This window comes from Homo sapiens, chromosome 2, assembly GCF_000001405.40.
Source record: "Homo sapiens chromosome 2, GRCh38.p14 Primary Assembly".
NCBI classification, from domain to species: Eukaryota; Metazoa; Chordata; class Mammalia; order Primates; family Hominidae; genus Homo; species Homo sapiens.
In genome coordinates this window covers 183,143,305-183,157,286 of record NC_000002.12, presented here as the reverse complement: position 1 = coordinate 183,157,286, position 13,982 = coordinate 183,143,305, and the positions used below count along the sequence as shown (strand labels likewise).

The following is a 13,982-nucleotide window of genomic DNA, read 5'->3' as shown; positions in this document are numbered from 1 at the left end:
TGTCAGTGACTAGTCACTCAAAAGCAAATACCTTAAAGTTAGTCTTATCCTGCCATTCTTCTCCATCCTCAGATTCTACCTCTGAAATCTCTAAAAATGCTACTCTCGTTGCCATTATCCAGGTCTTAGAAAAAAAACTATAAAGTTGCAGTTCTATATATAATTTATTTCAATATGTGTATGTTAATATGTAATATATTTAGGTATACTACGGTTATGAAAAGATAAAGAATTTTAAATTATAAACGAATCATTATACATTGAGCATCACTTAAAAATTCTGAAATTTAGTATCATAACAAAGAGAAAATTCAGCATCAAAATATTTATGGTATAGAATCACTTAAAAGGACAGTTACCAAAATTTGATTAGCCATATCTCTGCATGAGAAAATTCTAAGTAATTTTTACTTTCTTCTTTATAAAGTTCTGTATGGTTTGGATATTTTACAATGACATATTATTCTTTTATAGTCTTAACAATAAAGCTGTTTTCAATTTGAAAACAATAACCACTACCAATCGCATAGAAATGGCTATCTAACTTCAGTTATCTGAAGACTGAATTAGAACCCTAAAGAAAAAAAAAAATTCGAGTCTCAAAAATAAATCAGAAACCAAACACATTAAAAATCTATGTGAGGCTGGGCACGATGGCTCACACCTGTAATACCAACCAGCACTTTGGGAGGCCGAGGTGGGTGGATCACTTGAGGTCAGGAGTTCGAGACCAGCCTGGCCAACCTGGTGAAACCCCGCCTCTACTAAAAATACAAAAAATCAGCTGGGCATGGTGGCGGGCACCTGTAATCCCAGCTACTCAGGCGGCTGAGGCAGAAGTATCGCTTGAACCTGGGAAGGAAAGGTTGCAATGCGCCAAGATCGTGCCACTGCACTCCAGCCGGGTGACAGAGTAAGACCTCATCTCAAAATAAATTAATTAATTAAATAAAATCTATATGAGTAAAATATTCACTGCAATCAGAACTGAAAATTCATTTGTATAAAATCTGGACATGAAATTTCTAACCACAAAGAAAAACAACAAATAGGTTGGGTGCCTACAGGGCAGAGATCAAACAAAAATGAAAAGAAGAAAGAATGGCTGCAAGTGAGGGAAGTACTTAAGAAATAAAACATAATTCTAAAACTCTTGGACCACTTTGAGTAGAAACTTACATTCTAGTACTCTATAGCAGAATCACCCAAAACAATGAATATTTCATAACCCTAAGTCAGTAGGAAAAAGTTAAACTACCAAAGAAAGAACATATATAATGCATCCTTTAGAGGTACTTCCCCATAAATGATCAAAATAAAATACTTTATCCCTTAAAGGAGAATGCTTCAGTTCTTGAAATTAAAGTCATAGAGGGTTATTAAAACACGAAAGTAAAAAAATAAACAGCTGGGAGAGTTAATGTCTGAAATACGAAAAAATACTAGGAGTGCTTCAAGTAATTTATCTAATTACTGGAAATCTTAAAAGTTAAACCACTACTACTGAGCCTGAAAAACAGATTTAAGAGTGGGTACCTATTTTCAAAAACATGCAGCCAAGCTGGCTCATGCCTGTTATCCCAACTACTCATGAGGCTGAGGTAGAAGGATTGCTTGAGGCCAGGAATTGGAGGCTGCAGTGAGCTATGATCATGCCACTGCACTCCAGCCTAGATAACAGAGAGATTGTCTCAAAAAAAAAAAAAAGCCATTTTATGAGAGACTATAAAAATGTAAATGTAAAAGAAGAAGAAGAAAAAAAACACACCAGCCCAATTGCTATGGATATAGGACTGAGTATGGACTTTCTAGAGAACAACGGAATGCAATGACCCGCTTTTTACCCAAATAGAAATCAATAACACATAAAATCTCTCTGGAAACATACACAAAAAACAGATGGCAATCACTGCCTTAAAGAGGAGGAAAACTAGCTTGGGACAAAAGCAAAAGGGAAAACTTCATTGTACATTCTTACATACCTTTTGAATTTTTAATTTTAAATAAATTGAATACATAAAATCCACTAAACATTTACTATGCACCTTTCTTCCTTCAAGGAGCTCATGTGTTATTTTTATGTTTTTTAATCCCAAAAAATATATAATAGATACATTCCAGTATCAGCATGTGATACAGTTCAGCTGTGTCTCCAACCAAATCTCAACTTGAATGGTATCTCCCAGAATTCCCATGTGTTGTGAGAGGGACCTGAGAGAGGTAATTGAATCATGGTGGCTGGTCTTTCCTATGCTATTCTCATGATAGTGAGTAAGTCTCACAAGATCTGACGCGTTTATCAGGGGCTTCCGCTTTTGCTTCCTCATTTTCTCTTGATGTCACTATGTAAGTACCTTTTGCCTCCCGCCATGATTCTGAGGCCTCCCCAGCCATGTGGAACTGTAAGTCCAATTAAACCTCTTTTTCTTCCCTGTCTCAGGTATGTCTTTATCAGCAGCATGAAAATGGACTAATACAGTAATTGGTATCAGTAGAGTGGGGCATTGCTGAAAAGATACCCAAAAATGTGGAAGTGACATTGGAACTGGCTAATAGGCAGAGGTTGGAACAGTTTGGAAAGCTCAGAAGAAAATGTGGGAAGTTTGGAACCTCCCAGAGACTTGTTGAATGGCTTTGACAAAAATGCTGATAGTGATATGAACAATAAGTTCCAAGCTGAGGTGGTCTCAGATGGAGATGAGGAACTTGTTGGCGACTGGAGCAAAGGTGACTCTTGTTATGTTTTAGCAAAGAGACTGGTGGCATTTTGCCCCACCCTAGAGATTTGTGGAACTTTGAACTTGAAAGAGATGATTTAAGGTATCTGGTGGAAGAAATTTCTAAGCAGCAAAGCATTCAAAAGGTGACTTGAGTGCTATTAAAAGCCTTCCATTTTAAAGGGGAAACACAGCATAAAAGTTCAGAAAATTTGCAGCCTGACAACGCAGTAGAAAAGGAAAACTCATTTTCTGAGGAGAAATTCAAGCTAGCTGCAGAAATTTGCATAGCTAGAAAGGAGCCTAATGTTAATGCCCAAGAGCATGGGGAAAATGTCTCTAGGGCATGTCAGAGCCCTTCAAGACAGCCAATCCCATCATAGGCCTGGAGGCCCAGGAGGAAAAAGCGGTTTTGTGGTCCAGGCCCAGGGTCCCTGTGCTGTGTGCAGCCTAGGGACTTGGTGCCCTGTATCCCAGCCCCTGCAGCCGTGGCTGAAAGGGGACAATGTAGAGCCTGGGCTGTGGCTTCAGAGAGTGGAAGCCCCAAGCCTTGGCAGCTTCCACATGGTATTGAGCCTGTGGGTGCACAGAAGTCAAGAATTGAGGTTTGGGAACCTTCACCTAGATTTCAGAAGATGTATGGAAATACCTGGATGCCCAGGCAAAATTGTGCTGCAGGGGTGGGGCCCTCATGGAGAACCTCCGCTAGGGCAGTGCGGAAGGGAACTGTGGGGTCAAAGCTCCCACACAGGGTCCCTACTAGGGCACTGCCTAGTGGGGCTGTGAGAAGAGGGCCACCATCCTCCAGTCCCCAGAATGGTAGATCCACTGACAGCTTGCACTCTGTGCCTGGAAAACCCATACACGCAATGCCAGCACGGGAAAACAGCCAGGAGGGAGGCTGTACCCTGCAAAGCCACAGGGGTGGAGCTGCCCAAGACCATGGGAACCCACCTCTTGCATCAGCGTGACCTGGATGTGAGACCAGGAAGTCAAAGGAGATCATTTTGGAGCTTTAAAATTTGACTGCCCCTCTGGATTTTGAACTTGCATGGGGCCTATAACCCCTCTGTTTTGGCCAATTTCTCCCATTTGGAATGGCTGTATTTACCCAATTCCTATAACCCCACTGTATCCAGGAAATAACTATCTTGCTTTTGATTTTACAGGCTCATAGGTGGAAGGGACTTGCCTTAACTCAGATGAGACTTGGGACTGTGGACTTTTGGGTTAATGCTGAAATAAGACTTTCAGGGGTGTGTTGGGAAACCATGATTGGTTTTGAAACGTGAGGACATGAGATTTAGAGGGGCCAAGGATGAAATGAAATGGTTTGGCTGTGTCTCCACCCACATCTCAACTCAAATTATATCTCCCGGAATTCCCATGTGTTGTGGGAGGAACCCAGGGAGAGGTAATTGATTCATGGGGGCCAGTCTTTCCTGTGCTATTCTCATGATAATGAATAAGTCTCACGAGATCTGATGGGTTTATCAGGGGCTTCCGCTTTTGCTTCTTCCTCATTTTCTCTTGACACCGTCATGTAAGAAGTGCCTTTCACCTCCCACCATGATTCTGAGGCCTGTCCAGCCATGGAACCCTAAGTCCAATTAAACCTCTTTTTCTTTCCAGTCTCGGATATGTCTTTATCAGTATGAATAGGGACTAATACAGTATGGCAAATCATACTTTCAGAAACAAACTTTATATTTTTGTAGAGTGTAAATATCAGCTTGAATATCAAAAGACCCAAGTTTTTGCTGGAGCTTTGCTAATAATAACTAGATGTGAACGGCTGAATAAATCACTTAATCTGCCTACACCTCAGTTTCCTCACCTGTAAAATAAAACATTATACAATATGATCTCTAAGGAGTTTTACTGTGATAGATATATATACATACAAAATGGAATACTCAGCAGTAAAAAGGAATTAATTAATGGCATTTGCAGCAACCTGAATGGGACTGCAAATTATTCTAAGTAAAGTAACTCACTTATTCTAAGTGAAGTAACTTAGGAATGGAAAACCAAACATCATATGTTCTCACTCATAAGTGGGAGCTAAGCTATGATGATGCAAAAGCATAAGAATGATGCAATGGACTTTGGGGACTCGGGGGAAAGGGTGGGAAAGGGGTGACGGATAAAGACTACAAATTGGGTTCAGTGCCTACTGCTCAGGAGATGGGTGCCCCAAAGTCTCACGAATCATGTAAAGAACTTACTCATGTAACCAAATACCACCTGTTCCCCAAAAACCTATGGAAATAAAAAAGCATTTTTTTTAAAAAAAGGCATTTTAAAGTTTTTTTTGGACCTAAAAATCTATTCAAAAATGTAACAAGGACTGTCATACTGTTTCTATTAATATTCAATACTTTGTGGACCAGAAAGTATCAACCCTGTGACATTGTGTGTGTGTGTGTGTGTGTGTGTGTGTGTGTGTGTGTGTGTGTTTGTAAATGTTCATTCTGTTAATTCAAAACTGGTGAATTCCACTAGATGTAGAGAACCAGTCACTAGAAAAAGGGGAAGGAGTTCCCTAAGTCTAAAGGGACAACTGTGTTCCATCTAGTAAATATGCTTGAGAGAAAATAATTTGGGAAGAAATAAACAGACAAATGATTTAAAAAACTACAAACAAATATCAAACTCTAGTTAATGACATGCATGCTCAAGTGTCAGGGTAATATGTATTGATGTCTACAACTTATTATGAAATGTACCAACAAAAAGAATGAATTGATAGATGGATAAATGACAAAGCAAATGTAGCAAACTGTTAACCATAGAACCTAGGTGGTAGTAATATGGGTGTTTGCTATGCACTTCTTTCCATTTTACTGTATGTTTGATTATATTCATTATAAAATGTTAGGGTGGGGTTTTTAAAAGGCAAATGGTCTGCAAACCTTACCCAAATACAGTCACCCAAGAGTCATCGAGGTGATCTTCTGAAGTCAAAGAATCTCCTTGAGTATAAAAAGGATCCAACTGGGCAGGAGATAATGTCGTCTTTCGTGGCTGACCGATACTTGCTGGACTAAACATACTTTGCCCTATATTAGTATATTTAGCAAGTTAGTTGCCAGTGTAAACACCTCGATTGATTCTAAATCAAAAATCTTAGTTTTAAATGATAAAGTCTAATAAAGTTGGCAATTACATAAACAGTTCAAAACATACAACTGTGGTCAAATAGCAATTTCATGCTACCATACAATTAGAGGAAGTAATAATTGGGCATAGTTTATAATTCTGCAAATGTTTTATTATGTATGATAAATTATCTAAATGTTTTATTAAGCATGTCTGGTTAAGCTGACACCAGAAGGATATCCCAGGCAACCTCAAAGACTTCTGTTGGTTTCATCTTCCAAACCTACCACTTTCATCACAGCACCTCTGCCTTAAGAACATGTAAAAATGTATTACCCACAGAACAAAATCCGAATGCCTTGGCCTCAGCTATACAGTTGCAACCTTACTTTTCCAGTATGCACTAAACAATATCTACCTTACCCCTTAAAATGTGAATGCAATTTTCTTTTATTCAGGTCATTTCTTTCTAAAATGTCTTATCCTTTTATTTCTTATTCTTCAGTAACAGCCACCAATTGAGTACTTCTGTGTGTCCAACATGCCATGCTAAACACTTTATAAAGTTCATTTTATATCAGAAGCAATGTCCAATTAAGGCTATACATTTGAGAGAAGCAAAGACTATTTCCCTTTCATCTTCACAGTAGCAATAATGATTTACTCATTCAAAACATATTTTATCAGCACTTAAATATGCACCAAGCATCAACCTAGGTATTGAAGGTATAGCAGTAAACACATTAGACAAATAAAAACAAAAAATCCATCCCTATTGGAGCCTACATTCTAGCGAAAGAGAGACAAATAAGTAAATACTTAATGTGCTACAAAACTAAAAATCCTACAGAGAAAAAAAAATAAAGCAGAGAAGGGAGACAGGGCCAATTTGTGTGGGTGGGTTAAATGAAAAAGGATTTCACTGAGGTGCATTAAAGCAAAAACCTGAAGGACAAGGGAAGCAAAACAATATTTGAAGAAGTGAACATTTTGTGGAGAAAATAATAAAACAAAGGCCATGAGGAAAGACATGATTGGTCTTAGATGAACGCAAGAAGGCCACTGTTTGCACAGTGAGGGGGATGTGAGATGAGAACAAGGAGATGCGAGCAGAGAGGCAGCAATATGCCGGATCATGAAGAAAAACCTTATAAAGCCACTGTAAAAGCTAAAGCTCTAAGCGAGGTAGAAAACCAACAGAAAAATCTGAGCAAGCGTGACATAACAGGACTAAAACTTTGATAGTAAAAGGTAGCATTTTAAGGGCCAGGCCAGTGGCTCACACCTGTCATCCCAACACTTTGGGAGGCCAAGGCGAGCGGATCATGACGTCAGGAGTTTGTGACTGGCTTGGCCAACATGGTGAAACCCCATCTCTACTAAAAACACAAAAATTAGCCAGGTGTGGTGGTGCATGCCTGTAATCCCAGCTCCTCTCAAGGCTGAGGCAGGAGAATCGCTTGAACCCGGGAGGCGGAGGTTGCAGTGAGCTGAGATAGCACCACTGCATTACACCCTGGGTGACAGAGAGACTCTGTCTCAAAAAAATAAAAAAATTAAAAAAAAGGTAGCATTTTATTAAGTGATTATTACACTTTACGAGTGTAATTTTATTTAATTCTAACAATCCTACAAAAGGTCCAATTAGTCCATTTAACAAATTAGGAAACAGGATAATATTAAATAACATCCAGAAGGTTAGTTGGAATTCCAATCCAGGCAATCGGAATCCAAAGCATGAGCTCTGAGGCAGTAATCTAGTTAACATGTTTATTTCCTGTGGCAGTACTACAAGTGTGGTCTGGAGATTCTTGGCTCCCCCAGGACTCTCTCATGAGATCAGCCAACTCAAAATTATTTTCACAAAAACATGAAGTTTCATTTGCCTTTTTCTCAGTCTCTTATTAGTGTACAGTGGAGTTTTCCAGAGGCAACTTCATGTGATTCAACAGACTCAGGTTGAAAAGAGAAGCAGATTCATGAGAATTCACAGGTATTTTATTAAGCCAGACACTAAAAAGATTTTTAAAACAAAAACAATGTCACTCTTCCTGCAAATCTTTTTTTCTTTAGAAAATAGTTACTGTTCACTTCAAAAAAGATTATGTTTATATGAAATAGCTTTATTTTTAAATGAGTTAATACTTAAATTTTAAATTTTGTTTTAATTTTGAATGCAGTAAATATTGATAGCTATAATCTATATAAACAAAAGCTCTTTAATTTTTAAGAGTATAAACAAGGTAAAAACTACAAAACTAAGACATTTGAGAACCACTGTTCTACAGGTCAATGCGCATGAGTCATGCTCCATTTTTATTGATTTTCTAGAGGCTACTTAACATATTCTAACTATTGTATGTATCTCCTGACTTGCCATTTATCCTTAATTCCCAAATGAGTTGAAAACCATCCTAACTCATTCCAAAGTGTTTATAGTCACATGGATTTCTCCAAGTATGTTCTTAAGAAACAAAAAAGATTATCTATAGAAGGTGGGGGGAAAAGCTACTGTGATAAAAAGCTTGGCTTTGCACTGTGGCTCGTGACTGTAATCCCAGCGCTTTGGGAGGCCAAGTTAGGAGTTCAGGACCAGCCTGGGCAACATGGCAAAACCTTATCTCTACTAAAAATACAAAAAATTAGCTGGGCGTAGTGGTGTGTGCCTGTGGTCCCAGCTATTTGAGAGGCTGAGATGGAAGGATCACTGGAGCCTGGGAGGTGGAGGTTACAGTGAGCCAAGATCATGCCACTGCACTCCAACCTAAATGACAGAGTTTAAGACTCCATCTCGAAATATATCTATAGATATATTTGATAAAAATAACCTGTTAAAGAAGTGGGCAAAGAACATGAATAGACATTTTTCAAAAGACATACAAATGGCTAAGAGGTATATGAAAAAATGCTCAACATCACAAATCATCAGAGAAATGCAATTCAAAACTACATCATCACCTTACCCTAGTCAGAATGGCTATTGTTAAACAAAAAAACAAACAGATGCTGGCGAGGATGCAGAGAAAAGAGAACTCATACACTGTTGGTGAGAACGTAAATTAGTACAACCTCTATAGAAAGCCATATGGAGATTTCTCAAAGAACTAAAAATAGAACTACCATTCAATCCAACAATTTCTCTTACTGGGTATCTAACCAAACGAAAAGAAATAATATAACAAAAAGATAGCTGGACTCATAAGTTTATCACAGCACTATTCACAATAGCAAAGATATGGAATCAACTAAGGGTTCAACAATGGGTGAATGAATAAAGAAAATGTGGTGTATATATACAACGGAATATTATTCAGCCATTTAAAGGAAAGGAATCAATTTTGCAGCAACATGGATGGAACTGGAAGTCAGTATCTTCAGTGAAACAACCCAGGCACAGAAAGACAAACATCACATATGCTCACTCATAAGCGAGTGCTTAAAAAAGTATTCACAAAAATCAGTAGCATTTCTATACACCAATAACATTCAAGCTGAGAACCAAATCAAAAATGTAATCCCATTTACAATAGCCACATATCAAAAAAAAAAAAATTAAAATACCTAGGAATACATCTAACCCAGGAGGTGAAAAATCTCTACAAGGAGAACTACAAAGCACTGATGAAAGAAATCGCAGATGACACAAATGGAAAAACATTCCACGCTCATAGATTAGAAGAATCAGCATCATTAAAATGACCATATTGCCCAAAGGAATTCAACACAATTCCTATCAAATAACCAACATCATTTTTCACAGAATTATAAAAAACTATTCTAAAATTCACAGGGAAGCAAGAAGAGCCCAAATAGCCAAAGCAATCCTAAGCAAAAAGAACAAAGCCAGCAGCATCATATTACCTGACTTCAAACTATGGGACTACAGTAACCAAAACAGTATGGTACTGGTACAAAAATAGGTACACAGACCAATGAAACAGAATGGAGAACCCAGAAACAAAGTCACACACCTACAAACAATGGATCTTTGACAAAGTTGGCAAAAATAAAAAATGGATAAAGGATGCCTTACTCAATAGATGGTGCAAGGAAAACTAGCTAACCATATGCAGCCTGCCTCTCACCATATAAAAAAAATTAACCAAGATGAATTGAAGACTTAAATGTAAGACCTCAAACTACAAAAATTCTAAAAGAAAACCTTGAAAAACCTCTTCTGGACATTGGCCTAGGCAAAGACTTTACAACTCATATCGCAAAAGCAAATACAACAAAAACAAAGATTGACAAGTTGGACCTAATTAAACTAATGACTTCCTGCACACAAAAGAAACTATCAAAAGAATAAATCGACAACCTACAGAATAGGAGAAAACATGTGCAAAGTATGCATCCAACAAAGGCATCTGTAAAGAACTTAACAAGAAAAAAAACATTAAAAAGTGGGCAAAGGACATGAACAGGCACTTCTCAAAAGAAGACATGCAGGTGACCAACAAACATGAAAAAATGTTCAATGTCACTAATCAACAGAGAGACTGCAATTCAAAACCACAATGTGATTCCATTTCACACCAATCAAAATGGCTACTATTAAAAAGTCAAAAAATAGGCCAAGCGCAGTGGCTCACATCTGAATCCTAGCACTTTGGGAGGCCAAGGCGTTTGGATCACCTGAGGTCACGAGTTCGAGACAAGCCTGGACAACATGGCGAAACCCCATCTCTACTAAAAATACAAAAACTAGCCGGGCATGGTGGCGGGTGCCTGTAGTCCCAGCTACTCGGGAAGCTGAGACAAGAGAATCGCTCAAACCCGGGGAGTAGAGGTTGCAGTGAGCCAACATCGTGCCACTTCACTCCAGCCTGGGTGACAGTGAGACTCCAACTTAAAAAAAAAAAGGTCAAAAAATAAGAATGTAAGAATGTTGATAAGGCTGCAGAGGGAACCCTTATATGCTGTTGGTGGGAGTGTAAATTAGTTCAGCCTCAACAGAAAGCGGTTTGGAGATTTGTAGAACTCAAAATAGCAGTACTATTTGAACATCTTGTTGTCTAGTAAGGTCTAGAATAGTGTTCTGGATAAAATATATTCTTCAATAAGCTTAATAGATGTGAGGTGATCTGAAAAATATTTTTCCTAAAGGAAAGTGTACATTAATAGGTTAAATTAGATTAGTTCTAGTTTCTAAATTTGAATTCAAAGGAGTCTAGGAACTCAAATTGTTTAGCAACCCTAAAGAAGTAAGATTTTTGAAATACTTTTTTTTTTGAGACAGAGTCTCACTCTATTGCCCAGGCTGGAGTGCAGTGGCACGATCTCAGCCCACTGCAACCTCCGCCTCCTGGGTTCAAGCGTTTCTCCTGTCTCAGCTTCTGGAGTAGTTGGGATTACAGGTGTGTGCCACCACACCCAGTTAATTTTTGTATTTTTAATAGAGACGAGGTTTCACCAGGTTGGCCAGGCTGGTCTCGAACTCCTGACCTCAGGTGATCCACCTGCCTTGGCCTCCCAAAGTGCTGCAATTCCAAGCGTGAGCTACCATGCACAGCAGATTTTTGAAATTCTTAAGTGATTATATTTTTTCTTTTCAGTTAGAATGATATTATTGCATTGTAGTTTTTACTTGATAACTCTTTTGATCCTGTCCAGGCTGTAGTTTTGTTTTGATATCATTTGGAGGCAAGACATGGACATCATTCCTAGAAGTCTGTTAGACTTGACTTTATAAATTAATATTTGTGCTGTAATTGAAGTTATGTATTACTAACAACAGTTAACTTTTTAAAGTTCTTGTCTATTGTCCCATTTTATTGTTGGAGTAACACCTAAGTCTTGTGTTAAGGTTCATTATAGATGTAATAACTAAGTAATATTTATTAAACTTTTAAAAATTCTCTTTCAGGTAATCTTCAACTATACTGGATAGCTTTTTATTTGTACAAATGTATGGGGTACATGTGGAGGAATACTAAAGTACATCATCCTATAATACATTTAACAATTTACTTCCCTCATCACCACAGAAGCATTTAATAGGTATAGGCTGAGTATCCCAAATCTGTAAATACAAAATCCAAAATGTTCCAAAACGTGTAACTTTTGGAGCACCAGCATAACACTCAAAGGAAATTTCAGATTTTCAATGCTCAACTGATAAGTATAATGCAAATATTCCAAAATCTGAAACTCTTCTGGTCCTAAGCAGTTCTGCTAAGGGATATTCAACCTGTTCAATACATTTCTAAAATAAGTCTGATTTAGAATGAAACATCCCACTTTGACAAGTGCTGTTATATTTTTAAGAATCTACTTATCAACTAAGTTACCAACTATTGCTTTAGTAAGTGGAAGCATATATTTATACAAAAGATACTCTTAACTAATTTTAGTTACTACAAAGACATTCCATTAACAAACTGAAGACAGTAAAAGGCATTTAATCTGAAGCCAATCCAAATTTTCTACAGTCTACAAGTATTACCATTAAGAAGATAAAATTTAGTTATGCTACATCATGTAATAATCTTCAAGCAAGAAATTAAATGAAGGTTCGAATTGTGACAACCGTTACAACCTTTAAAAATAAAACAAATCAAAAATAAGTCTCAAACGAATAAGCAATCTAATTTTTGCCCTGTCAACTACTCTGAAAAATATAATTACTTATACATAATCTAAAACTATTTACATAACTTTAGCATAATTGCCCCCCACCTAGTTAATGTTTAATTGCTCCACTAATTTTACTTCCTTTCAATCAGACTTCTGATGCCCACATGCCATGCTTTGTAAGATGAAAATAAAGTGTGCCTATCAAACCACATCAAATCGGACTGCAATGTGTCTCCCTGAGTAAATCACTATTCAAACATTCTTCCTAAGACTGGATTAAAGCAGAGGGCAAAAGACCTTATTACCCTTTATGAAAATGTCTTCAATTAAAAGAAAGATTCAATTATTTCAAAATAGACCACTAACCTAAATGAAAACAAAAGAGATTAAAAGACTAGTAAATTTTAAATAGATACGAGCCAAATGAAACTTGGAAAAAAGAGGTTCCTGGCGGTGTTAACTTCTTATCATGAAACAAAGTAGCACAATATGTAATAAGGGATTTGGTCTCTGCTCAACAAGAGGAGGAAGACTGGAGACTGAACTCAACCACCTGATTGGTAATTCAATCATGCCTATGTAATGAAACTCCAATAAAAACTGTGGACATAGATGCTCCAGTGAGCTTCCCTAGTTGGTAGTACTCCATGTATATTGCCATACATTGACGCTGGGAGGATAACACATCTCCCTGAAGACAATGGAAAGGAAGCTTCACATTTGGAACCCTTTCCAACGTCACCCTATGTGTCTTCCTTTGGCTGGCTCTAATTTGTTTCTTTTTGCTGTAATAAAACTGTAACCATGAGCACAGCACTTTCAGTGAGGTTGTGAGTCTTTCTAGTAAACTACCAAACATTACAAGCAGCCTTGGTAACCTCTTAATTTATAGACAGCTGGTCTAAAGTGATCATCCCAAACTTAACAGCTAGTATCTGAAGTAAGGATAATCTTATAAGGACTATTTAATCAGACTTTGCAGTATGGCACACACATTATACCGAAAAAGCATATTGAATGGTACAATGTCCAATCAAGCATGGTGAACTGAACCCTGTATTCACTTATAATCCCTTGCAAACCCCTACTGACAGACACTCTAAAAAAGTGTCAGGTTTTGGGGACCAATGATACTGTGAGAAACTCCTGACTGAACTTAAGGAAAACTAGTGTAAAGTATATAATAAGGGCTTACAGACCAGGCCTCTCCTTATCCCAGGCAGCTAGATAACTCTCACTTTCCCAATCCACCCTCAAAAGACCAAAGATTTTGTCTCTGGAGAAAAGGAACCTAAACAGCTCAAAACTCAATGAGTCTGACAGCAGAAGACAACTGTAAGGAGATTAAGTGAAAATCTGCACATTGAAAAGGAGATTTGCCCCTGCCCATATTCAGAACACCAGCTTAGGCATAAGGCTGAGTATTAAAAGATTCTTCTTTGGGAACACTTAAAAGTGAAGCCCAGTAAGATATAAAACAGCTCCTCTCCATCAATTCTACCCTGCTGCCAATACCGAATCCTATGCACACACTTATTCCAAATAGCTTTTAGTGCCTCATTTGATAAATATTTGCTCACCAGCAAT

General features: G+C 37.7%; 1 protein-coding gene across 9 annotated transcripts in view; it reads right to left on the bottom strand.

The window, feature by feature from the left end:
- Nucleotides 1-13,982, bottom strand: part of NUP35 (nucleoporin 35) — a 44,167-nt gene that overhangs the window by 4,394 nt on the left and 25,791 nt on the right. For 8 of the 9 annotated variants that reach the window (XM_011510577.3, XM_011510576.4, XM_047443270.1 and 5 more), the window contains one exon: nt 5,638-5,779. The exons of the other annotated variant lie outside the window; for it this stretch is intronic. In XM_011510577.3, the coding sequence (XP_011508879.1) occupies nt 5,638-5,779 (142 nt within the window). The remainder of the gene's footprint in view (nt 1-5,637; nt 5,780-13,982) is intronic. 9 annotated transcript variants of the gene reach the window in all.